This window comes from Homo sapiens, chromosome 17, assembly GCF_000001405.40.
Source record: "Homo sapiens chromosome 17, GRCh38.p14 Primary Assembly".
NCBI classification, from domain to species: domain Eukaryota; kingdom Metazoa; phylum Chordata; class Mammalia; order Primates; family Hominidae; genus Homo; species Homo sapiens.
In genome coordinates this window covers 60,290,130-60,315,702 of record NC_000017.11, presented here as the reverse complement: position 1 = coordinate 60,315,702, position 25,573 = coordinate 60,290,130, and the positions used below count along the sequence as shown (strand labels likewise).

At 38.5% G+C, this 25,573-nt stretch overlaps 1 protein-coding gene across 12 annotated transcripts in view, besides 2 other annotated features; it reads left to right on the top strand.

Moving 5' to 3' along the window:
* Positions 1 to 25,573, top strand: part of USP32 (ubiquitin specific peptidase 32) — a 245,090-nt gene that overhangs the window by 106,714 nt on the left and 112,803 nt on the right. For 8 of the 12 annotated variants that reach the window (XM_011525372.2, XM_011525371.2, XM_011525376.2 and 5 more), the window contains exons 3-4: positions 13,999 to 14,104; positions 20,902 to 21,020. In XM_011525372.2, the coding sequence (XP_011523674.1) occupies positions 13,999 to 14,104; positions 20,902 to 21,020 (225 nt within the window). Of the gene's footprint in view, positions 1 to 6,108; positions 6,185 to 10,438; positions 10,797 to 13,998; positions 14,105 to 20,901; positions 21,021 to 25,573 lie in introns of those variants that run through there. The other 4 variants (XM_017025233.2, XM_011525378.2, XM_047436944.1 and 1 more) reach the window with 3 other exon arrangements.
* Positions 585 to 644: a silencer, noted in NCBI's record as "silent region_8787". NCBI's record gives its function as "represses an Ori minimal core promoter by ATAC-STARR-seq in GM12878 lymphoblastoid cells {active_cell/tissue: GM12878}" and the evidence as "EXISTENCE:reporter gene assay evidence [ECO:0000049][PMID:35858748]".
* Positions 10,504 to 10,553: an enhancer, noted in NCBI's record as "active region_12528". NCBI's record gives its function as "activates an Ori minimal core promoter by ATAC-STARR-seq in GM12878 lymphoblastoid cells {active_cell/tissue: GM12878}" and the evidence as "EXISTENCE:reporter gene assay evidence [ECO:0000049][PMID:35858748]".

Genomic DNA, 25,573 nt, shown 5'->3' with positions numbered 1-25,573 from the left:
ATATACCACATTTTTTTCATCTTTTTATGGGTTGTTTCCACCTTTCTTCTATTGTCAATAATGCTGCTGTGAATATTGGCATACAAGTATCTGTTTGAATCTCTGTTTTCAATTCTTTTTGGAACAGAATTGTCAGGTCATATGGTAATTCTATGTTTACCTTTTTGAAGAACCACCAGGCTGTTTTCCAGAACAGCTGTACCCTTTTACATTTCCATCAACAGTGTATAGATGTTGCAGGGGTTTTTTTACATTCTTGTTATTTATTCATTTTATTTTATTTATTTTTATTTTTTGAGATGGAGTCTCACTCTGTCGCCCAGGCTGGAGTGTGGAGTGCAGTGGCGTGATCTCGGCTCACTGCAACCTCTGCCTTCCGGGTTCAAGCCATTCTCCTGCCTCAGCCTCCTGAGTAGCTGGGACTACAGGCGCACACCGCCACGCCTGGCTAATTTTTTTGTATTTTAAGTAGAGATGGGGTTTCACTGTGTTGCCCAGGCTGGTTTTGAACTCCTGAGCTCAGGCATTCCGCCCACCTCGGCCTCCCAAAGTGCTAGGATTACAGGCGTGAGCCACCACACCCGGCCTCATTCATTTTATTATAGCCGTTCTTGTAGGTGTGAAGTGGTATGTCATTGTGGTTTTGATTTGCATTTCCCTAATGACTAAAGACATTGCATCTTTTTATTTAAGTCATTTGCCCTGTTTAAAATTGAGTGGTCATTTTGTTGTTGGATATATAATCCTAGGCTGTTTTTTTCTTCTTTCAGTATAGTAAAATTGTTTCTTCTGTTGTCTTGTGGCTTGCATTGTTTCTGATTACAAGTCAGTGATTATTCTTATTTTTGTTTCACTTTATACCTTTTTCCCTCTCAGTGCTTTCAAGATTTTCTGTATTACTATTTTTCAGGAATGTATTATATACCTTTGTTTGGTTTTGTTTATCTTACATATGAGTTTCTTTGAGCATTTTGGATTGGTAGGTTTATCATCAAATTTGGAAGGTGTTTCAGTACTGTTCTTCAAATATGTTTCTGTTCACCCTTCCCTTTTCTTTGTCTCTAAGTACAGGTATGTAAAAAGCTTGGTGGTTTTTCACAGGTTACTGAGACTGATTATTTTCTCTCCTTTCCTCCCCCCACCCCCAGTTCTAGCTCTTTTTCTTCACCGTACTTCAGATTGGATAGTTCCTATTCCTGTTTCTTCAAGTTCACTGCTCTTTTATTCAGTAGTGTTTAATATGCTTTTAAGGCTACACAGGGCCAGGCACAGTGACTCACCCCTGTAATCCCAGCACTTTGGGAGGCCTAAGCAAGTGGATCACTGGAGCCCAGGAGTTCAAGACCAGCCTGGGCAACATGGTGAAACCCTTCCTTTACAGAAAATACTCAAAATTAGCCAGGAGTAGTGGTATACACCTGTAGCCCCAGCTACTTGGGAGGCTGAGGTGGGACGATTGCTTGAGCCCGGGAGGCAGAGGTTGCAGTGAGCCAAGATCAATGCCACTGTATTCTCCAGCCTGGGCAACAACAGAGAAAGACCCTGTCTCAAAAAAAAAAAAAAAAAAAAAAAAAGCCACACAATAACTTTTTAGTTCAGATATTATATTTTTCACTCTAAAGTTTCATGTTTCTTTTTAAAATATAGTTTCTATTTCCATGTTTTTATTTTTGTTTAAATTCTTGAGCATATTTATAATAGCTGTTTTAAACTTCTTGTATACCAGTTTTTATCATCTCTGTCATTCTTTTGCCTCATAATTTTCTGGTGATTGGTTACAATTTTCTGTTTCTTGTATCTAGTAACTTTTTGATATCTAGTAAACATTGTAAACCTTATGTTATAAGTACCTGAATTTGTTGTCTTTGTTTTTAAAATGTTGGATTTTATTCTAGCACACACTTAATCACAGATTAGCTAATCCTCTTTAATCCTGTGTTAAAGCTTTGTAATGGTGAGTCTTGAATAGACTTTAGTATAAGTATGGTTTACCTCTAATACTAAGGATTAACTCTTGGGGTCTCTCCTCAATGCTCTGGATGTTCAATGAGGTGTCTCTTCTGCTTGACTGATAAACTCAATGTGAGCTTTGGGTACTATTCCGCTTTCTAATCCCTGGTAGTTGTTTCCTCAGTATATGTTCTTTGCTTAGACTTCAGGAATTTATACTTTGCATTTGTATGTTGTTATTTATTCAGAATTTCAAGGGGCCCTTTATTTTTTTTGGAGCTAAGCATGACTCTACCTTATGATATTTACTTCCAGGAAAGACATGGTTAGTATTATGAAACACATTTGAAGAAAAGAAACATTTTGTTCTATTGGACTCTGCACTAAAGAAACAGTAATGTGAACACACATAATTTTTAGTTTTAGAAGGAAAAGTTTTTCAAAACACACACATATAGGAACAGAGCTTGCATTTTTTTAATCTTACTTTATTTTATTTTTTGAGACAGAGTCTCACTCTGTCACCCAGGCTGGAATGCAGTGGTGCGATCTTGGCTCACTGCAACCTCTGCCTCCCAGGTTCAAGCGATTCTCCTTACTCAGCCTCCCGAGTAGCTGGGATTACAGGTGCCTGCCACCATGACTGGCTAATTTTTGTATTTTTAGTAGAGACGAGGTTTCACCATGTTGGCCAGGCTGGTTTCAAACTCCTGACCTCAGGTGATCCACCCAGCTTAGCCTCCTAAAGTGCTGGGATCTGGGATTACAGGCATGAGCCACCGTGCCCAGCCACAGAGCTTGCATTAAATGTTAACATTTGAAATTTTATCAGTAGTAAGTATGTTTTATGCAAATGAGTACTTAATGTATTCATATACCATGGGCCTTATGTTGTGTTTGAGTTATTCTTCGAAGCTCACCAACATACAGCATGACTTATTTTGTGAATTCATGTTTCATCTTTGTCATTACCTAAAGATGGCTTTTAAGCATGTAGGTTGGTGACATCAAGTTCTTTGGAAAGGTATATATTTTTTGCCTTTTTAACTTATGTATACTTTCCTTTTTAACTCTGTGTCAGTCAGGATAAATTTTTTAGCCTGGGCAACATAGTAAGATCCCATCTTTACAAAAAAATGAAAAAATTAGCAAGGTGTGATGGCATGTTCCTGTGCGCTCAGCTACTTGGGAGTCCTCAGACTCCCAAGGACTCTTGGGAGGATCACTTGAGCCTGGGAGGTCAAGGCTGCGATGAGCTGTGGTTATGCCACTGCACTACAGCCTGGGCAATAGAATGAGACCCTGTCTCAACAACAACGACAACGACAACAACAACAACAACAAATGGAAAAGTATTGATCCTCATGAGAATTATATAAAATGAAAATTTGAAAACATTAATTTGGTTCTGTTGATGAATTAATCAAGCAGTTAGATTGGTGTACTAGAGTTTACTCTGGAAAAATATTTTCAAGCAAAAGTTATGAGCTCATCAGTGCTGAATTCTTACTAGTTAACAAAGTGACTTCAAACTCTGGTTTCCGCCTTCTGTCCTGAGATAGTATTTCCCACCCAGGGGCTGCTTTCCAGCTTAGGTCCTGGAATGAGACGACTTGGCACATTGCTTCAACATATGTGTCATGGACTGCAACTAAGGCCCAGAAAGTTAAGTGATTTGCTTAAGACCACATAGTTGGTATATTAATAAAGCCTGGCTTCAATGTCAGGCCTTTCTGACTCTAAAAGCCATGATAAAACAGTATCTGTCACTTAACTATTTCCCCTAAGGAACTGTGGGATAACCCTTTACCTTATATCCATTAGACAGTGGAATGACCAGGACCAGAAAGCAGCAGTTGAAACATGCTACAACTGTTTCTAAACTCTGGAGACCTACACATATCTACCGTTTTTTTTTGTTTTGTTTGAGGTGGAATTTCGCTCTTGTTGCCCAGGCTGGAGTGCAATGGTGCAGTCTCAGCTCACTGCAACGTGCGCCTCCTGGGTTTAAGGGATTCTTCTGCCTCAGCCTCCTGAGTAGCTGGGATTACAAGTGCCTGCCACCACAACTGGCTAATTTTTTTGTATTTTTAGTAGAGACAGGGTTTCACCATGTTGGCCAGGCTGGTTTCTAACTTCTGATCTCAGGTGATCCACCATCCTCGGCCTCCCAAAGTGTTGGGATTACAGGCGTGAGCCACTGTGCCCGGCCTACATCTACCCTTTTTTGACCTCTTAACTGTTAGACAAGAGGTAGGTTTTTGGTATGTTATAAGTCTTTTTCTTTGACAATACAGACAAATTTCCCTCTCTTCAGAGTTAATCATATTATTTACTGGGATGACATCATTGTCTGAAAGGAGGCTAGTGAGATCATTACCACATACATCAATTTTATATATTAGTATAACAGTGTATTAAGTCTTTGACTGGATAGTCATGGCTACAAAATGTTTAAGAGTGTTTTTCTTTTCCTTTAGGGTTGCATAATAGATACATTTTTTGGGGGGTACATGTGATCACTAATCCATTCATAATTTGGAAATATAAAATCTCAGTGTACTTGGAATATTCATTACCTTAAATGTTTGTCCTTTATGCTAGAAACATTTGAATTAATTTTTTCTAGTTATTTTGAAATGTACACTAGATTATTATAATCACCTTACTAACACTACATTTTATTTCTTCTGTCAAACCATGTATTTGGGCCCATTAATCAACTTATCTGTATTCCCCCCTCCTCCCCACTACTCTTCCTATCCTCTGGTAACCACCAATCTACTCTCATCTTCATGAGATCTACTTTTTTTAGCTCCTACATATGAGTGAGAACATGTGATATTTGTCTCTCTGTGCTTGGCTTATTTTTGTTTTTTGGTAGTGATGAGGTCTCACCATGTTGCCCAGGTTGGTTTCAAACTCTTGAGCTCAAGTGATCCTCTTGCCTTGGCCTCCCAAAGTGCTAGGATTACAGGCGTGAACCACCACACCTGGCCTGCTTGATTTATTTCACTTAACATGTTGCTGCAAATGACAGCATTTCTTTTTTTTTTGGATGGAATCTTGCTTTGTCCCCAGGCTGGAGTGCAGTGGGTCGATCTTGGCTCACTGCAACCTCCGCCTCCCGGGTTCAAGTGATTCTCCTGCCTCAGCCTCCCAAGTAGCTGGGACTATAGGCGCGTGCCACCACGCCCAGCTAATTTTTGTATTTTTAGTAGAGACAGAGTTTTGCCTCATTGGACAGGAAGGTCTTAATCTCTTCGCCTCATGATCTGCCCACCTCAGCCTCCCAAAGTGCTGGGATTACAGGCGTGAACCACCGCACCCAGCCTCTTTTTTCTGGCTGAATAATGTTCCATTGTGTGTATATACCACATTTTCTTTATCCATTCATCTGTTGATGGGCACTTAGGTTAATTCCAAACTTCGACTATTATGAATGGTGCTGCAATAAACATTAGTACAGGTATCTTTTTGATACATTGATTTCCTTTCTTTTGGATATATACCCAGTAGCAATTTGCTGGATCATATGGTAATTCTATTTTTAGTCTTTTGAGGAACAGCCATAGCTGTTCTAATTTACACAATGGCTGTACTAGTTTACATTCCTGCAAATGGTGTACAAGAGTTTCCCTTTCTCCACATCCTCACCAGCATTTGTTATTGCCTGCTTTTCTTTTCTTTTTCTTTCTTTTTTTTTTCCTTGATGGAGTCTTGCTCTGTCACCCAGGCTGGAGTGCAGTGGCACAATCTCGGCTCACTGCAACCTCCACCTCCCAGGTTCAAACAGTTCTCCTGCCTCAGACTTCCGACTAGCTTGGATTACAGGCACATGCCACCATGCCCGGCTAATTTTTATATTTTTAGTAGAGGCGGGGTTTCACCATGTTGCCCAGGCTGGTCTTGAACTCCTGACCTTGTGATCCACCTGCCTTGGCCTCTGAAGGTGCTGGGATTACAGGTATGTGCCACTGTGCCCAGTCTGCCTGCTTTTCGATATAATGGGTGAGATTTTAACTCATTATAGTATTGATTTGCCTTTCTCTGATGATTAGTGATGCTGAACATTTTTTCATGTACCTGTTGGTCATTTATATGTCTTCTTTTGAAGATTTCAGATCATTTGCCCATTTCTTTATTTTTTTTAGAAAGTGTCTCACTTCATTGCCCACACTGGAGAGCAGTAGTGCAGTCTTGGCCCACTGCAACATCGGCCTCCTGGACTCAGGTGATTCTCCCACCTCAGCCTCCCGAGTAACTGTGATTACAAGTGCGTGCCACCACACCCAGCTAATTTTTGTATTTTTTGTAGAGACAGGGGTTTCTGCCATGTTGCCCAGGCTGGTCTCGAACTCCTGAGCTCAAGTTATCCGCCTGTGTCAGCCTCCCAAAATGCTGGGAATTTCCCCATTTAGAAATGTAATTTTTTGTGGGTTTGTTTTTGTTTTGTTTTTTTGCTAGTAAGTTGTTTGAGCTCCTTATACAGTCTGATTATTAATCCCTTGTAAGATGGGTATTTTGCAAATATTTTCTCCCATTCTACAGGTTGTCTCTTAATTTTATTGATTGTTGCCTTTGCTGAGCAGAAGTTTTTAGCTTGATCAAATCCCATTTGTCTATTTTTGCTTTTGTTATTTGCCCTTTTGAAGTATTACACAAAAATTTTTTTCCCCAGAACAATCTCCTGGAGCATTTCCCCCAATGTTTTTTTCTAGTAGTTTCATAGTTTCAGGGTTTGGATTTAGGTCTTCAGTCCATTTTGATTTGATTTTTTGTGTATGCTGAAAGATGAGGAGTCTAGTTTCTTGTTTTTTATTTTGAGACAGAGTCTTGCTCTGTCACCAGGCTAGAGTGCAGTGGCACAGTCTCGGCTCACTGCAACCTCCGCCTCCTGGGTTTAGAGCAATTCTCCTGTCTCAGCCTCCTGAGTAGCTGGGATTACAGGCATGCGCCACCACGCTCAGCTAATTTTTGTACTTTTAGTAGAGACAGGGTTTTGCCATGTTGGCCAGGCTGGTCTTGAACTCCTGACCTCAAGTGATCCACTTGCCTCAGCCTCCCAAAGTGCTGGGATTCCAGACATGAGCCACCGCATCCAGCCTAGTTTTATTTTTCTGCGTATAGTTATCCAGTTTTCTCAGCACCATTTATTGAAAAGACTGTTCTTTCCCCCATTGTATTTTCTTTGTGCTTTTTCGTGAAGATGAGTGGATTGTAAATTTTTGGATTTATATCTGGGTTCTCTGTCGTCCATTGGTCTGTGTGTCTGCTTTTATGCCAGTATTGATACTGGAAAGGTTCCCTTGTCCCCCTCACAGGGTGTGTGATGGGGGTGTGGCTCCCTTCTTCAGTGCCCTGCTGTTCAAACCTTTAGGGAAACATACAGATGGGCAGGTTATGGGTCTCTGACACCAGGGGCAGCATCTAGGGGTGACTGTTTACAGCTCCTGAAGCCCCAGTGCGTTTGTGTTAATGTGTGCTCTTTTAGTTTTGCTGTCTCTAGGTGGCTTGTATTTATCAGCTCAATTAGACCCTCTGCATTATCGCAAGGGTTTTCTGTATCCCGGATTCTTGCCTTGATGTACCAGAAAAGTCGGATCACATGTGGGCTTGGAGAATGAGTGCAAGATTTTACTGAATGGTAGAAGTAGCTCTCAGCAGCTGGACGGTGAGCCAGAAGGGGATTGGGAAGGCAGTTTTCCCCTGGAGTCGGGCCTCTCAGCGGCCGTACTTTCCTCTGACTGCCCCACCCTAACTCCGCATCGTTCTGCTGGTCAGTGGCCTGCCGGCATCTGCCAGTGCCTGTCAGTGTGCTCTTCAACTGATGTGTTCCTCTGGACGTCCAGCCACTTGTGCGTTCTTCTGCTGATATGTTCCTCTCAACGTCCAGCCAATTGTATGTCTCTGCTTGCTGGGGTCTTGGGATTTTTATAGGCACACCTTGGGGGCGTGGCAGGCCAGGGTGGTCTTGGAAAATGCAACATTTGGGCACCAAGGCAGGAGTGCCTGTCCTCACCTAGGTCTGTGGGCACAGGCCTGAGGGTGGAGCCCTAGCCAGGCACCTGCCTTTCTCTACCCAGCACTTCCCTGCCCTGCTCCTGTATCAGTACCATGCTGTTGTGGTTACTATAGGTTTTTAGTAAGTTTGAAGTCAGGTAGTATGATGCTGCCAGTTTTGTTATTTGCTCAGGATTTTTTGGCTATTTGGGGTCTTTTGAGGTTCCATGTATGTTTTAGGATTCTCTTTTTCTTTCTCTATGAAGAATGTCATTGATATTTTGATAGGGATTGCATCGAATTTGTAAATTGCTGTGGATAGTATTGTCATTTCAACAAAATGAATTCTGGCTGGGTGTGGTGGCTCACGCCTGTAATCCCAGCACTTTGGGAGACCAAGGCAGGCAGATCACTTGAGGCCAGGAGTTCAAGACCAGCCTGGCCATCATAGTGAAACCCCATCTCTACTAAAAATACAAAAAATTAGCTGGGTATTGTGGTGCGTGCCTGTAATCCCAGCTACTCGGGAGGCTGAGGCAGGAGAATTGCTTGAACCTGGGAGGTTGAGTTTGCAGAGAGCCAAGATCGAGCCACTGCACTCCAGCCTGGGTGACACAGCAAGACTGTCTCAAAAGAAAAAAAAAAAAAGAAAGGAAAAAAAATTAATTATTCCAATCCATGAACATAGAATACCTTTCCATTTTGTGTGTGTGTCCTCTTCAATTTCTTTCATCAGTATTTTATAGTTTTCCTTTTATAGATCTTTCACATCTCTGGCTAAACTGATTCCTAGGTATTTTATATTCTTTGTAGCTATTTTAACTTGGATTACTCACTTGGGATTTCTTTTTTAGATTGTTTACTGTTGATGTATATAAATTGTATTGATTTTTGTATTTTGATTTTCTATCCTGCAATCTTTCCTCAATTTATCAGTTCTAACAGTTTTTTGGTGGAATCTTTAGGTTTTTCTAAATATAAGGTCATGTTATCTGGTAACAAGGCTAATTTGACGACCTCCTTTCCAATTTGGAGACCCTTTATTTCTTTCTCTTGCCTGATTGCTCTGGCCTTTCCTTTTTTAATAGCTAAAGACATTTTTTTTTTCTTTCGAGACGGAGTCTTGCTCTGTTGCCCAGGCTGGAGTGCAGTGGTGCAATCTTGGCTCATTGTAACCTCTGCCTTCCGGGTTCAAGTGATTCTCCTGCCTCAGCCTCTCAAGTAGCTGGGATTATAGGCGCCCACCACAACGCCCAGCTAATTTTTGTATTTTTAGTAGAGACAAGGTTTTACCACATTGGCCAGGCAGCTCTCGAACTCCTGACCTCAAATGATCCACCCCCCTCGGCTTTCCAAAGTGCTGGGATTACAGGCATGAGCCACTGCGCCCGGCCAGAAAATTATTATAGGGATTTTAAAACAAAAGTCTTGCAACAAATTATATAAATAACACTTTACCTTTATTAAGTGCTTTTCAAAAAATGACATCAAGACCACCCTGGACTGCCAGCATCCTTGCTATCCTATTCACACTCCGTCTTCTAAATCCGAAAATGAAAGCTAATTAGTAATGAGTGTGGCACTTAATATTCTCTAAATGTTAAAGGACTGCCTATTATAAGGTGACCATTTAAATAGTTGTTCTTTTTTTTCCTTTTTTTTTCTTTTTGAGTGAAAAAAGGGTACTTAGACATTAGAGGTGTTAGATGCATACTGCTTTCTGAAACATTGATTAAAGGCGGAAAATATGTACATCCTAGAACTTAGGAAATGGTGATTTTTGGGGGCTTCCTCTTAATCATTTGTCAAATGAACTGGATGATTCTAGGTTATTGCTGTACTTGTATTTTGGGAGCGATAGGGAGGTAGCAGTATATTCCAAACAAATTTATTCCATACAAAATCTGTTACATTTTACAAGTACTTGCAAAACTGAAAGTCATACCTTACTCAAAATTTCTTCCTTAATTTTACCCTCACTGCTTTACTCTTTGTATTAAAGTCAGTGAAATTGTCAAAAGTGAAGAGACTGGATTATCAAGATACAGTGAATGGAAAGGGATGCCAAAAACTCAGTGTTTATAAATTGAATTTGTTACCATTTGAAATTTCTTTGTTTAATCTTCAGGAGATTTCACCAAAATGATGTATGTCTTGCTGATGATGTCTTTCATATAATTCTAGACAAATTAACTAGAAATGAATGTATATAATTGATATAGTTTGGATATTTGTCCCCTCCAAATCTTATATTGAAATGTGATCCCCAATGTTGGAGGTGGGGCCTCGTGGGAGGTGTTTGGATCATGGGGGCAGATCCCCACGAGTGCCTGGGTGCTTTCCCCACAGTAATGAGTGCGCTGTCACTCTATTAGTTCATGAAAGAGCTGGTTGTTTAAAGGAGCCTGGTACTTCCTCCTCTCTCTCATGCTTCCTCTCTCACCATGTGACATGCTTGTTCTCTGCTCCCCCTTCACTTTCTGTCACAAGTGAAAGCTTTCTGAGGCCTCATGAGAAGCTGAGCAGATGCTGGTGCCATGCTTATACAGGCTGCAGAACCGTGAGCCAAAAAAACCTCTTTTCTTTATAAAAATTACCCAGCCTCAGGTATTCCTTTATAGCAATGCAAAACAGACTAACATATTAATTGTACTATAGAACTAAAAGTTGGTTAAAAATTCAGTTTCAGAAGCCTGTCTTTCCTAGGTTAAAATTCTGACTCTGCTGCTTCATTGATGTATGACTTTGGACAAGTTACTTAATCTCTTTGGGCTCTGGTTTCCCCCAGCCCTAAAATGAGGATACCAGTATTCCTTGTGGAGTCATCTAAAGGCTTAATACTGGTAAATAACTTACAGTAGTAAAATGCCACATAACAAGCATTTAAATATTAGCTATTGCTTTTATTATAAAAATAAGAGTTTATTAATGAGGTCAATGTTAGGCTTAAACACTAGATTACTAAGGTCACGTAATTTCCTGGTGACTGGCAGTTTAAAGATGAGATATACCACATGTGAATTGGTATAATAAACCATTTAATGGTGTATAGACAACATTTATGTGTACTATACAACAGTATACTTCCAATTCCTTTCTCCCATCCTCTGTGCTATTGTTACGTGTTTTACTTTTACATATTCTATAAAGACACTTTACATTTCTTCTCTTACTGATGTAGACTGCTAGTTAATCTTTCACAGTGATTAAAAATAAGAAAAATGCTTTTATATTTACCTTCATTTATGCCATTTCCAGTATTCTTATTTCTTTATGGAGGTACATGTATCTCTAATGGCATAATATTTCCTCCAGCCTGAGGTACTTTCTTGTACCCCTTTTTGCTGGTAATGACTTCTCTGTTTTTGTTTCCGTAAAAAAAAAAAATAAAAAAATAAAGGGAAGCAAAATATCTTTTCTTTTTGAAAGATATTTTCACCAGGTACAGAACTTATGGTTGAGTTTTTTTCCTTTAGTGCTTTCAATATTTCACACCATTGATTTCTGGCTTACATAATTTTTGATGATAATCCAGCTATAATTTTTGGGTTTTTTTTAATGTAATTTTGTTTTTCTTCTGGCTGCCTTAAACATTTTCTTTTTATCTTTGGTTTTGAGAAGTTTCAATGTGATTTGTCTAGTTGGTTTTTGGGATTATAGGTGTGATCTATTCTGCTTGTTCTCTGAACTTCTTAATATCTGTGGTTTTGTGTCTATTCATTTTGAAAATCCCCAACCTTATCTCCTCAGATATTTATTTTGCCCCATTCTCTTTTTTTTGTAGGATATCAGGATTACTTGAATGTTACATCATTGATATGATCTCACAGCTCTTGGGTTTTCTGTTCTGTCTACCTTCCCCTGCCCGCTCTCCTCACATTTTCCCCCTTTTGTTTCGTTTTGGATAATCTCTTATGCAACTCTGTTGAGTTTATTCTTGAGCCATTCCAAAGCATTCTTCAAACTCCATTAGCATATTTTTCCTTCGTCTCTGACAATATATTGGGTTTTTCCTTCTTTCTGTGACTTAAAATTTATGGTTGAAACATAAGTGCTTCATATAGGACAGAAGAGACTGAGCCAAGTAGTATCTTCCTTCAGCTTGGGAAGTTGAGTCAATATAGTCTATAGTTTAGCTTAATTTTGGTCTTGTTGCTATGGTTACCCTAAGTGCTATAGAGACTTCAATTTCCATTCTAGGGTTACTTTTTTTTTTTTAGGGGTTAGGGCTCTTTCTTAGAGGTTTTTTCTAATGTTTGCTCTACCTTCAACTTTTGATGTTACCTTCTATTTGTTATCACACCTCAAAGACATTCTCTGTAGTCCTATTTCTGTCTCAGTTTTAGGCAGGTGCTGTGTCCCTGGATATTAGGGGTGACACTTTTACATTGATCTTCCTTCTTCCCAGTGATAGGGGATCTGTAAGGTCTGGGGCCATTATGTTTTCCTGCCCTTCCCCAGGGATAAAGGTGTTTTTGTTTTTGTTTTTCCCTGTTATTTTCTTCTAGTTGGGAGTGGGAGATGGGGCAACTAAAAATAGTTATTTTACAAAGTGTATTAGTTCTGTTTATTTGGTTTTTTAAAAAATACTTTTAATGTTCTGTAGCTATTTCCTTTGGCTAGTTTTTGCTGGGTTGAGTTATCACTGGCACTAGAGATAGATAGTTTTTGACATCAGTTGTCAGGTGTTATTAAATATATTTATAAATATAATTTGGTGACTAATATATATTTTCAGTTTTCATATTGACTAACTTCTCGAATTATTGTTTAATCATGCATTTTTATTGACAAAAACTTTGCCTGGCAGATAGTAGGCACTCAACAAAGAACTGTTGAATGAGTGAATTTATTGTGATTTCTGTTGTCCCTTTCCTATGCATAGTTTTTCTTCTTTATTTCTGATTACTATAATACTTATTTCTGAGAGTGTTAAAAAATATTTTTTTGAGTCTCTTTGAATTTCTGAACATTCAGTTAGAGAGTATCTTTTTTTCCAATCAAAGTAATGTGCGTAAGTTTTCCCAGGTTTGAAGGAAGTTGTGTAATTGCACAAAATTCTTATCACATTATTGTGGCTATTGGAGGACCTTTGTACTCTTGGACCTTGATAAGGACTCCCAAGAGAAAGAATAAATAATTCAGTTGTGTGGGTCTGTAATATGCAGATACTCCTCTACTTACCTGGGATTACAGCCCGATAAACCCATTGTAAGTTGGGAATATTGTGAGTTGAAAAGGCATTTCATACACCTAACCTACCAAACATCAGAGCTTAGCCTAGACTGTTTTAAATGTGCTCAGGCCAGGCGCGGTGGCTCATGCCTATAATGCCGGCACTTTGGGAGGCCAAGGTGGGCAGATCATTTGAGGCCAGGAGTTCGAGACCAGCCTGGCCAACATGGTGAAATGCCATCTCTACTAAAAATACAAAGTTAGCCTGGCATGGTGGCACATGTAATCCCAAGTGGCCTGTAATCCCAGCTACTTGGGAGACTGAGGCAGGAGAATTGCTTGAACTGGGAGGTGGAGGTTGCAGTGAGCCAAGATGACGCCATTGCACTCCAGCCTGGGCGACAGGAGCAAAACTCCATCTCAAATAAATAAATAAATAAATAAATAAATAAATAAATAAACAAACAAAATATTTATATATATGTGCTCAGAACACTTACATTAGCCTTCAGTTGGGCAAAATCATCTAGTGCAAATCAGATTTTATAATAAAGTGTTAAATATCTTATGTAATTTATGGAGTACTGTATGGTTTCTACTGAATGTGTATCACTTTCACACCATTGTAAAGTTGAAAAATCAAGCTGAGGACCATCTGTACGTATTTTACAGTAGTCACAGTCTATTCTAGGCTGAGTGCAATAATAAGGTCCAAAAGAGGAAGAAGAGGGAGAAACTTAACATGATTTCACTAAAATTTACCAGGGCCTGTTGTGGAGGTGGAGATAAAATTTGTTAAAGATGATAGCTGCCTCAGATTCCTCAACAACTGAAATGCCTCCTAAGGTTGGCTTTATCATCTTTTTCCAGGTGATTTACTGTTCTTTTGGTGGAACATCCAAAGGGCTGCACTTCAATAATTTAATAGTTGGACTTGTCCTCCTTACAAGAGGCAAAGATGAAGAGAAAGCAAAATGTAAGTACTTTTATTATCTCAAAAATAATTCGTCTATGTACAGAATAATTTATCTCAAAATTCTGATGACAGGTAGAGGATTTGAATTGACATTTTCCCAAAGAAGATATACAAGTGGTAAATAAACACCTAAAAAATGTGCAACATAATTAGTCATTAGAGAAATATAAATTAAAATTACAGTGAGATACTACTTCACACCTACTAGAGTGGCTAAAAGTAAAAAGCCTGATAATAAGTGTTGAGGAAGATGTGGAAAAATTGTAACCCACATCATACATTGCTGATGGGAGTATAAAGTAGTGCAGCAACTTTGGAAACCAGCCTGGTGGCTCCTCAAATTGTTAAACGTTGTTACTGTGTGTCCCAGCAATTCCACTCCTAAGTTTGTACCCAAGAAAATTTAATACATATGTTTACCACACACACACAAAAAAACTTGTACAGAAATAGTCATAGCATCATTGTTCATAATAGAAAATGGAAACAACCCTAATGTCCACCAGCTGGTAAATGGATAAACAAAACATGATATATCCACATGCTGGAAATTATTCTGGTATAAAAAGGAATAAAGTACTGATTCATGCTACAGTATGGATGAACTTGAAAACATTTTGCTTAGTGATAGATGTCAGTCCCAATAGGCCATATATTATGATTCCATTTATATGAAATTTCAAGATTAGGCAAATCTACAGTGGCAGAAAATGATAGATTAGTGGTTGCTGGAGGTATCAGGTGAGAGGGAAATGGAGAACAACTGCTAATGGGTACAGGGTTTCCTTTTGGGTTGGCGAAAATGTTCTGGAATTACATAGGAGTGACAGTTGCACAACCTTATAAATATACTTTAAAAATCACTGAAATGTTTATTTTAAAAGGGTGAATTTTATGGGATGTGAATTATGTCTCAATAGAACTTATTTTTTAAAATTCTGATGACATAGACATAGTAGTCTATTTGTTTCACAAACAAAACCAAAGTTTACTTACCTGATAACATTTTATATACGTTATTTGTAAAAGGTTTAATTTTTTTAATGTTTTACTTTTAACTTCAGAAATTAATTTTATTAGGTGAATTATCTAAGCAGAGAAAAGAGTGGCACCTTATTCATTACCTTTAAATCCTGCTGATCAGGGAAATGCTATAATGAGAGGACACCATTTCCCCTGCTAAATGTGAAAGGGAAGATAATCTTAGTTGCTTAGTGTCCGTCTGTTTCGTGGGATATAGATTTATTTACTTTTAAAAAGTTCATTCATTTAATTATTTATAAGGTCTTCTGTCCCCTCATTCTTTTCTTTGAACTCCCCAAAGACAGATCTGCCTTACCAAAAGCATTCATAAGCCCTGCATATTTTATTGAAGATTTCCCAGGGGAAGTATGGCAGCTGTTTATATTACACAGAATGTAACATTTTGTACCCAAAATTCCTTTGCTTTTATTCTTGAACACCATATGCTGGGTCTTTCTCTCTTCCTTCTTCCTTTTCTAATCTGCCTACTATGGTCTGAATATTTGTGTCTCCCTCAAAATTCATATATTGAAATCCTAACCACCAAGGTGATGGTATTAGGGGATGGGGCCTGTGGGAGGTGATTAGGTCATGAGGGTTAATCATAAGTATCTTATGAGTGAGATTAAGTGCCCTAATAAAAGAGGCCCCAGAGAGACCCTTTATATTTTCCCCTGTGTGAGGATACAATGAGAAGGTGGCTGTCTATGAACTAGGAAGTGGTCCTTCACCAGACACCGAATTGATGGTGTACTTCCCAGCCTCTAGAACTGTGAGAAATAAATCTGTTATTTATAAGCACCCAGTTTATGGTATTTTGTTACAGCAGCCTCAACAGACTAAGCTGCTGCCCTGAGACTGCTTCTAAATTTCTCAGAATCCCCTCCTATTCTTGAATCTAGACCATTATTTTTAATTCTTGCTATGGTTTGAACACGTTACCCAAAGTTCATGTGTGGAAACTTAATCCCCAGTGCAACAGTGTTGAGAGGTGGGACCTTTAAGAGATGATTAGATCATGAGGGGTCCACACCCATGAATGAATGAATGCTGTTATCTCAGGAGTGAGCTTCTTATCACAGGAGTGCCATCCTTATAAAGGAAGAATTCAGCCTCCTTCTCTCTCCCTCTTGCATGTGTTCTCTTGCTCTTCTGCTTTCCGCTATGGGATGATGGAAGAGCAAGAAGGTCCTTTTGCCGGATGCAGGTGCCTTGACCTTGGACTTCTTAGCCTCCCGAATTGTAAGAAATAAATCTCTGTTCATTATAATAAGTTGCTAGATCTGTGGTATTTTATTATAGCAGCACAAAATGGACAAAGAGATCATTTTTAAGAAAAGTTTTATTGAGGTATAATTGTCATACAATAATATGCACATATATAAAGTATATATTTTGATACGTGGTTTTGTTTTTGTTTTTGGAGGGGATAGGGGACAGAGGAGAGAGCCTTACTCTGTAGCCCAGGCTAGAGTATAGTGGCACAGTGGCACATAGCTCACTGCAGCCCTTAACTCCTGGGCTCAAGTGATCCACCTACCTCAACCTCCCAAGTAGCTAGGACTATAGGTGCATGCCACCATGCCTAGCTAATTTATTTTCTTTATTTTGTTTTTGTAGAGATAGGGTCTTGCTAGGTTGCCCAGGCTGGACTCTAACTGCTGGCCTCAACTGATCCTTCTGCCTCTGTCTTCCAAAGTGCTAGGATTACAAACATGAGCTAGCATACTTAGTTACACATTTGTATATGTTTTGACACGTGTATATGCCCAGTAAACCATTACCATAATCAAGATAATGAATGTATCCATAAACCCAGTTTTATGTATTGGAATATAATTGTGATCCTGATTTTTGCAAATTAGCATTTCTTCACCAGCAGAAATATAAATTGGCCCCAGGCAGCAATAATTAAAAATACAGGACAGGTATGGTAGTGCATGCCTGTAATCCTAGTTATTTGGGAGGCTGAGGCAGGGGGATCTTTTTAAGGCTAGGAGCTTAAGGTAACAGTACAGCAAAAAAAATAATACAAATAAGAAACAATACACTATAACAACTATTTACATAGTATTCACATTGTTTTAGGTATTATAAATAACCTAATGATGATTTAAAATATATGGGAGGATGTGGATAGGTTATATGTGTCAACTGAAAAAAATTATGATATCTATAAATTTGGAAAAGAAACTTTATTTCTTATAAAGGGTTATAGCCTGCAAGTTGGCCATTTTGACAGGCTGAGAAACATAGCCTCCAGCAGATACCCCAAACAGGTACTGTGCAAGGGAGAATAGAACAGAGATTTATGCTGAAGAGGTTGGCCAGTTGTACATATTCAACAGCTTATCGGAGGGGCCATGAATATTCATGAAGTGGTTCCTGACACATGCATACTGTTATATGTGTCCCATGTTTACTTTGGGGTGGAAACTTAATATTTAAATGCATTACAGTTAGGCCCGATGTTTACTTTGGGGTGGAGACTTAATATTTAAATGCATTACAGTTAGGCCCTATAAGTCAAAAGGTGAAACAAGGACAGCAAGGCAGTCAAGTGAGCAGCCTCTGTAAACCAGCCAGAACCAGTCCATGGTCAGTGGTCTTCTTATCAGGAGACCACTAACTTGTTGATAGCTACTGAAATAGCTCTCTTGTCCAGTCAAAGCTGTAGTTACGGCTTGTGGAACAGGAATCAGTAGGTTAGCATTTGGTGGTGAATGAGCTGCAACTGTTTTCAATATTGCTTATCTCAAGGCCAGTGCTTATTCAATAACTGCTAGAGAAAAAGAAAAATGGCCAGGCACGGTGGCTCATGCCATGATATTTTGAGGTGGGTTGTGATGGCTCACACCTGTAATCCCAGCACTTTGGGAGGCTGAGGCATGTGGATCACCTGAGGTCAGGAGTTTGAGACCAGCCTGACTAATATGGTGAAACCCCGTCTCTACTAAAAATACAAAAATTAGCTGGGCGTGTGACTGTAATCCCAGCTACTAGGGAGGCTGAGACAGGAGAATTGCTTGAATCCAGGAGGTGGAGGTTGCAGTGAGCCGAGATTGCGCCACTGCACTCCAACCTGGGCGACAGGGCAAGACTCTGTCTCAAAAAGAAAAAAAAAAAAAGAAAAGGAAAAACATTGTAGCAGTTAGAACATAGTTTATTGATTGATTGATTGAGACAGGGTTTTATTCTGTCTCCCAGTCTGCAGTACAGTGGCAAGATAGCTCACTGCAGCCTTGAACTCCTGGGCTCAAGTGATCCTCCTGTTTCAGCCTTCTGAGTAGCTGGGACTAGAGGCACGTACCACAATGCCCAGCTAATTTTTAAATTTTTTGTAGAGATAGGGGTCTCGCTATGTTGCCCAGGCTGGTCTCGAACTCCTGGCCTCAAATGATTCTCTCGTCTTGGCATCCCAAGGTGCTGGGATTACCAATATGAGCCACCATACCTGGCAGTTTATTCTTTAAGTGTAGGGGTACATGACTTAATGCCTTGCCTGGCATAGCTTAGGTTTTGTTTACAATTTGGGATTTTTCTGCCACAAAGAGTCTGTCAGTCTTCTGATCTTTATTTTTAATGCTGGTTAGTTGTTGCATCTCTAAACTGCAAAAGGGATTGGATATAATGAGATGTGTCTGACTGCCCATCCCCTCATGACCAGTATCTGTTTTTAAGGATTTTCTGGGGTCCCCTTGGCCAAGACAGGGAGTCTGTTCAGTTGGTTGGGGTGCTTAGGATTTTCTTTTTTAGTTTTTATGTACAAAATACCATGCCATTTTATATGAGGCTTGAGCACCTGCAGATTTTGGTGTCCTTGGGGGTTCTGTAACTAATCCCCTACAGATACTGAGGTACAACTGGTAACAATTTTTTAAGTCACAAACACATATTTTTAAAGTTTCTTCATTTTTTAAAATGTGATTGTATTAGTTTTCTAGGGCTGCCATAACAAAGCACCACAAACTGGGTAGCTTAGAACAACAGATATTTACCGTCTCATAGTTCTGAAGGCTAGAAGTCCAAAATCAAAGTGTCAGCAGGGCCATGCTTTCTCTGAAACCTGTAGGGGAAAATTCTTTCTTCTCTGTTGCTTCTAGGATGACTGACAATCCTTGGGGTTCCTTGGCCTGCAGCTATATCGTTCTAATCCCTGCCTTTCTTACACATGGCTTTATTTTTCTGTTTGTGCTTTTCTTCTTATAAGGGCACCAGTCATATTATATTGGGTCCCACCCTAATGACCTCATCTTAACTTGATTATATCTACAAAGACTCTGTTTCCAGATAATCTCACATACACAGGGACTTCAAGGTTAGGACTTCAGTATATCTTTAGGGGGATAAAGTTCAGCCTATAACAACAATATTTCAAACATATATCTAATACGTACCTCCACCTAGCTTAACTATTTCTTAACATTGTATCATATGTCCCTGATTTGATTTTTTAAAAATATTAAAACTAAGGTGAGGTTTTCTTTGTATCCCTTCATGATCCCATTCTGTTCTTCCCTCTACAGAGGTTACCACTTTCATGAATTTGGTGATTTTTTTCTCATGCTGGTTTTTATACAACATGTTTATGTGTCCTTAAACATTGTCAACTACTTTGCAGGTTTAAAGTTTTAAATAAATGGTACACATTAGTTCCCCCCTTATCTGCACAGATCTGTTCCAAGACCCTCCCAGTGGATGTCTGAAACCATAGATAGTCCCAAACCCTATATATACCGTTTCTTCCTATACATATGTATCTATGATAAAGATTAATTTAAAAATTAGGCACAGTAAGATATTAACAATAATAAAATAGTAATATTATAACAATATACTATAATAAAAGTTTTATGTGAATCTGGTCACTCTCTCTGTTAAAATATCTTCCTGTACTCACCCTTCTTGTGATCTGTAAGTCTGATAACCAAAATGGCCACTAAGTGACTAACAGGCGAGTAGCATGTGGATACACTGGACAACAGGATCATTCAGGTCCCAGGTGGGATAAAGAGGGAGGCAAGAGATTTTATCACGTTACTCAGAACAGTGTGCAATTTAAAGTTTATGAATTGTTCATTTCTGGAAATTTCCATTTAATATTTTTGGACCTCTGTTAACCACAGGTGACTGAAACCTTGGAAAGCAAAACCATGGATAAGGGGGTACTACTGTACTATACAGATGATTTTGTCATTTGCTTTTCCTCTGAATATTATATCTTTTGATATTTATCCATCTTGAAACACATATTTTAACTTCTATGTAGTATTTCATTGTGTGTATCTCATTTTACCTGTTCTCTTGTTGACAGACATTTATCTTTTTTTTTTTTCGAAGTTTTGCTCTTACAAACAGTATTTCAGTGAACATCTTGTATTTTGTACGCAGGTTTCAGAGTTTTTCAAAGATGGAAGTGGAGTTTCTGGAATGTCTCTTGACCTTTACTAGATTTTGCCAAATTACTCATGAAAATGGTTGCAATAATTTGTGCTCCTATTAACAGTGTATAAGAGGTCCTGTTTCTCCTAGTCTTTGCTAACACTTTGTATTGTAATACCTAAAGATTTTTGCAAATTTGGCATGTTTGAAAAGATACTACACTGCTGTTTTAAATTTTTGTTGCTGGATTATTTTAAGGAATAAACTATATTTATAAGGTGCTTGGCCCTAGTAATCACTCAGTTATTGTAGCTTTGTCTTTTCTCCCTACTTCCACCAACGTATATTTGGTCTTTGTTAAGATTAATTTATTCTATCTTTCTTTTTCTTAGACATTTTTAGTCTTTTTTCAAGTGAATCTGGGAACTATGTTATACGGGAAGAAATGGAAAGAATGCTCCACGTGGTGGATGGTAAAGTCCCAGATACACTCAGGAAGTGTTTCTCAGAGGTATAGTTAAAGATTTACATTTTATCCCTTTTCATTGACAAAGTATTAACTCTTAGTTGTGTAATAAGTTTTAAGTATGACAAACAGATGTTTATGTGCAGATTACTCTTGGCATTTTTATATTTATTGATGTTTCCATTTATGTGCTATTGCATGACTCTCATTACTGTTACATTTGTAAATCTGAAAATTTTCAATTCTACTGTAAAGGCAACTATTCATACTTAGAGTATAATGAAACACAATTCTATATACTCACACTAACACAGTAATACACACACACACACACACACACACACTCCTGCAGGAACCTGAAACAGTGCTCATGTTGTAGTGTCTTTGCTTTTCATCACGGATATCATTCATTCATTAGCCTTGAGCCATCTGTGACCTGTTTTATCAAAGCCTATTTTGTCATTTATTTCACCTAGTTGATTTGCATAGTGAAATATTTGTGTTAAAAAATTGTCATCTTTGGGCCAGGCAAGGTGGCTCACACCTGTAATCCAAGTACTTTGGGTGACCCAGGTGAGAAGATCTCTTGAGCCCAGGAGTTCAAGACCAGCCTGGACAATGTAGCAAGACCCCGACTCTACCAGAGGGTGGGGAAAGTCATTTTTTCTGTTTTCAAAAATAATATATTTTCATTGTGTCTTTATAGAAAAATTAAACAATAGAAAATTCAGCAATAGAAAAAGTATATCTTTAACAGAGAGAATTATTTTATTTTTCTTTTCAGAGGTCTGCTAGTATGTGACAAGTCCTTAGTGATTGTAGAGTAAAAATCCCTTTAGAAGTTCTGATTCTTTCATGCAGCACTCAGTGCTGCCCATTTTCTTTTGGGTGGCTTTTTGACACAATTCCATTTCACCAGTATGACAGTCCTCCATTGTTCTTTGTTTTATTTGGGGAGTTAGCTCTGCCTTCCTGACTGTATAGACATTGATTGTCCATATTTCAGCCTTTGCATGTATCTGGTTCTGATATATCTTTGGACTGCCTATCATTAGTTTCTTACCACTCTGGTTTTGAATATCTCCTGTGTTGATAGCACCTGGTGATATCTCTTTCTTGCTTTTGAGCCTAGCATGCAGTTTTTGGCGGTGGTTATGGTGCTAACGTTTTATCCAGCATTTCCAAGTGTCAGGTGCAAAAGGATGTGCTTCCTGTGTTTTTGGTTCTGACATATTGACTGGAAGTTGCTGTGATAGTAATTTACTACTTCAGGACGAACTGAGCTATGATTTGTTTGTTTTTTTCCCCCATAATAAAATTTGCTTGTAAGAAAAAAAGATAATCTAGCAAACTTGACTGATTGGATTTTTGACATAGATGTCCAAAACATTAATACTCTTTTCTTTTTCAGGAAGTATGATATTTTTTCATTTTAATACGGTTTATGCAGACATTCTCATTTTTGTAGATGGAAACTAAGGGTGGTTGGCTACCCAGTACTCTAAAAACTTAAACACAATAGCAGGCACATGTATTAGCTGATAATTAGTGCTATAGGGGAAAATAAAGTAGAATAAAGGAAGAAGGTGGTAATAGAGAAAATCTGAATCTTGTTATTTTATATAGAATGCTTAGGTCTATCAGATAACTAAGATTTGAGTAAATAATTTATAGCAAGTGAGAAAGAAAACCATGAAGATATCTGGAGGACCACTTTTCATCAAGAGAATATAGCAAAGGCCTTGAGGTGGGGGTGTACTTGTATGTCCAAGGAACAATAAAAAGGCCAATTTAGTTGGAATGGTGTGAACAAGGGAGTGGTAGGAAATGATTATATATTGTCCTATAGGACAGCGTGAGTCCTTTGACTTTTACCCTGAGTGAGATAGAAACCACTGGAAGGTTTTGAGTAGAGGAGTAACAAAATATGAGGCTTTTTTTTTTTTTTTACACACATGATCACTTTGGATCTTATGTGGGAAGTAGGCTGAACTGAGTCCAATTGAGGTATCTGAATAATCCAGGCATGAGGGTCATGATTACCAATGGTCAGTGATTTAATCAGTCATTTAGAACATGGTGTAGCAGTGAGGTAGTGAGAAGTTTTCAGATTCTGCATTTATTTCAAAGGTAGAGTTGGCCTAGAATTTTTTCTCGTATTGATTATGGACTATGTGACAGAATGAGTAGGGGGAAGATGATTAGTATTTAGCCTGATTCAGTAAATGAATGGAATTACCACTAACTGAGATGGCTAAGAGTAATGGAGAAGCAGGTTAGGGGGTTGGATATCAAGAAAGTTGTAATTACACTTGAGAATCCTATTAGACACTCAAGTGGAGTTGTCAGATGTGATTTTTGATATATAAATCTGTTGTTGAGGAGTAAAGGATTTGTTGTTGGCTTACAGGTGAGGATGAGATCATCTAGGAGTAAGTTTAGATAGAAAACAGGTTGGAAGAATGAGTCCTGTCATCCAGTGTTTAGAGTTTGGAGAGATGAAGAGGACTCAAAACAGACCACTAAGAAATAGCCTGCAAGAAAAGAGGATTAATAAAAGAGAATAGTGTCCTGGAAGCCAACTGAGGACAATGTTTCAAGAAGGAAGGAGAACTCAACTATGTCAAATACCCTGGAAGGTCTAGTGAGTTGACCTTTGATCACTGAGAAGTGATCATTAAATTTGGTGATCTGCAGGTAGGTCATTGGTGTAGGTCCTGTGGAATTAAAAAATTGCTGGTGTAGGATACTAGATGAAATGTACTCATAAGAGGAAATGGTGATAGGAAGAGTGGAATGCTTAAATTTTCAATTATGGGAAGAGGAAGTTACTACAATAAAGACATCATAAGACTGTGGTAGTTAATGCCTGAGTTGGTGGTGTTTTTAATAAGATCTTTAGAGGAGAAAAGATCAAAGAAATGTGAAGCTCATGTATATGGCTATTTGAACTATTAGATACCTCTAGTTGGTATAAAACCAACATTGTAAATGGGCTATTGGTATTTGATTCAACTATTTGATTTATTTGCCTGCTGTAATATCTGAGTAGTGTGTCGATGATTGCATGTAGAACATTGCTATCCAAGTATTTATATTAGAATAGGTTAATTCAGACCTTCAATAACAATGCTTTGTGTTGTTTTTGTGTTTATACACACACACACACACACACACACACACACACACATACACACACAGAGAGAGAAGCACTTTAGCTAAAATATAAGGACCTAGTGCTTAGATTTAAGTGATATGGGTCTCAGCTTTTTCTATCTTGTGCTTTATTATTAGCCTTGACAGATGAAGTTATAAAGGAATCTACCTAGGTGTTGTATGAAGTTTTTTTCTCACTGACTTATTTTAGGTTGTTGACTCTTAAAATGGAAATTTATATTTTATGCTATTCTTCTCTTTTTAGAAGAGATCCATGACTCAGAAACATAAAAAATCAGATTTGACTGTATAATTTTTGGTCTACCAGTTATGTGGAATGATTCCCAATGGGCAAGTGAATTTCAGAGATTACTTTGTATTTCACTTAGACAGGCAGTGTGCTAACTTTGGAGCCTGGACTACCTGAGTTCAGTCCTCTTTCTTCCACTGTATAACAGTAGGCAAATTCCTTAACCTTTTGGTGTCTTGGTTTTCTCATGATAAAATGGGGATAATAATAGTGTCTTCTGTAGAGAGTGTTTTGAAGATTAAATTAGTATTTGAAATATTTAGAGCAGTTCTTAGGACATTGTAAACATTTGGTATTAGCTCTGTATGAAGGTGGTAGAAGGGTCTACCTGGAGATAGCATCAGATCCCACAGCTTGAGGGATTAGTTCCACAAAACTGACCCCTAGACATCTTCGCTAGCGATCATGATTGATTAAATCATTGACCATTGGTAATCAGCTCAACTTTAAGCCCTCTCCCCTCCCTCCCTAGAGGTTAATCATTGTGGTTTTCTTTTTTTTTTTCCCAGTGGCCAGCCCCCATCCTGAGGCTATCTAGCAGCCCCCCACCCAGCTGTGGGGTCCATTCATTAGCATGCAGAGTCATTTATCACTTTGGAGATTACAAGAATTTTAGGAGTTGCATGCCAGAAAAAGAGATGAAGACCAAATATATATTTAACAATATCGCAACCACTAAGAAATTACAATTAAAGGATGCTATTGATTTTAAGACTTATCCCAATGTCAGAGATGTTAATGTGTGTAAAAATGTGCATCAGCTTGTAGAATTTATACTAAGCTTCTTTCTAGACTAAACATGGGATACAGAAAGAATATGGGTAGGAACTCTCATCTCTAAACATGTTGGCAGTGTACTCATATGTCCCTGCAACATGTCTGAATGTCATTGTCAATGTCAAAATAAAAATGTATAGGGCATACATGAAGACTGGGTGATCTTCAATATGTCCAAAGAACAAAGAGAAGGTTGGGAGTTTTCTAAAAATGGGAGTGTTACATATGGTCCTGAGAGAAAGTTCATTGGTATTAGTAAAGCTTTAGGGAGCTGGCAAACTTCAGTTGGTGGGCGATGGTGGTGGGCAAAATTAGTTGCAGCAAGTCATCTCAGCAGCTGGACTTACAGAGAATT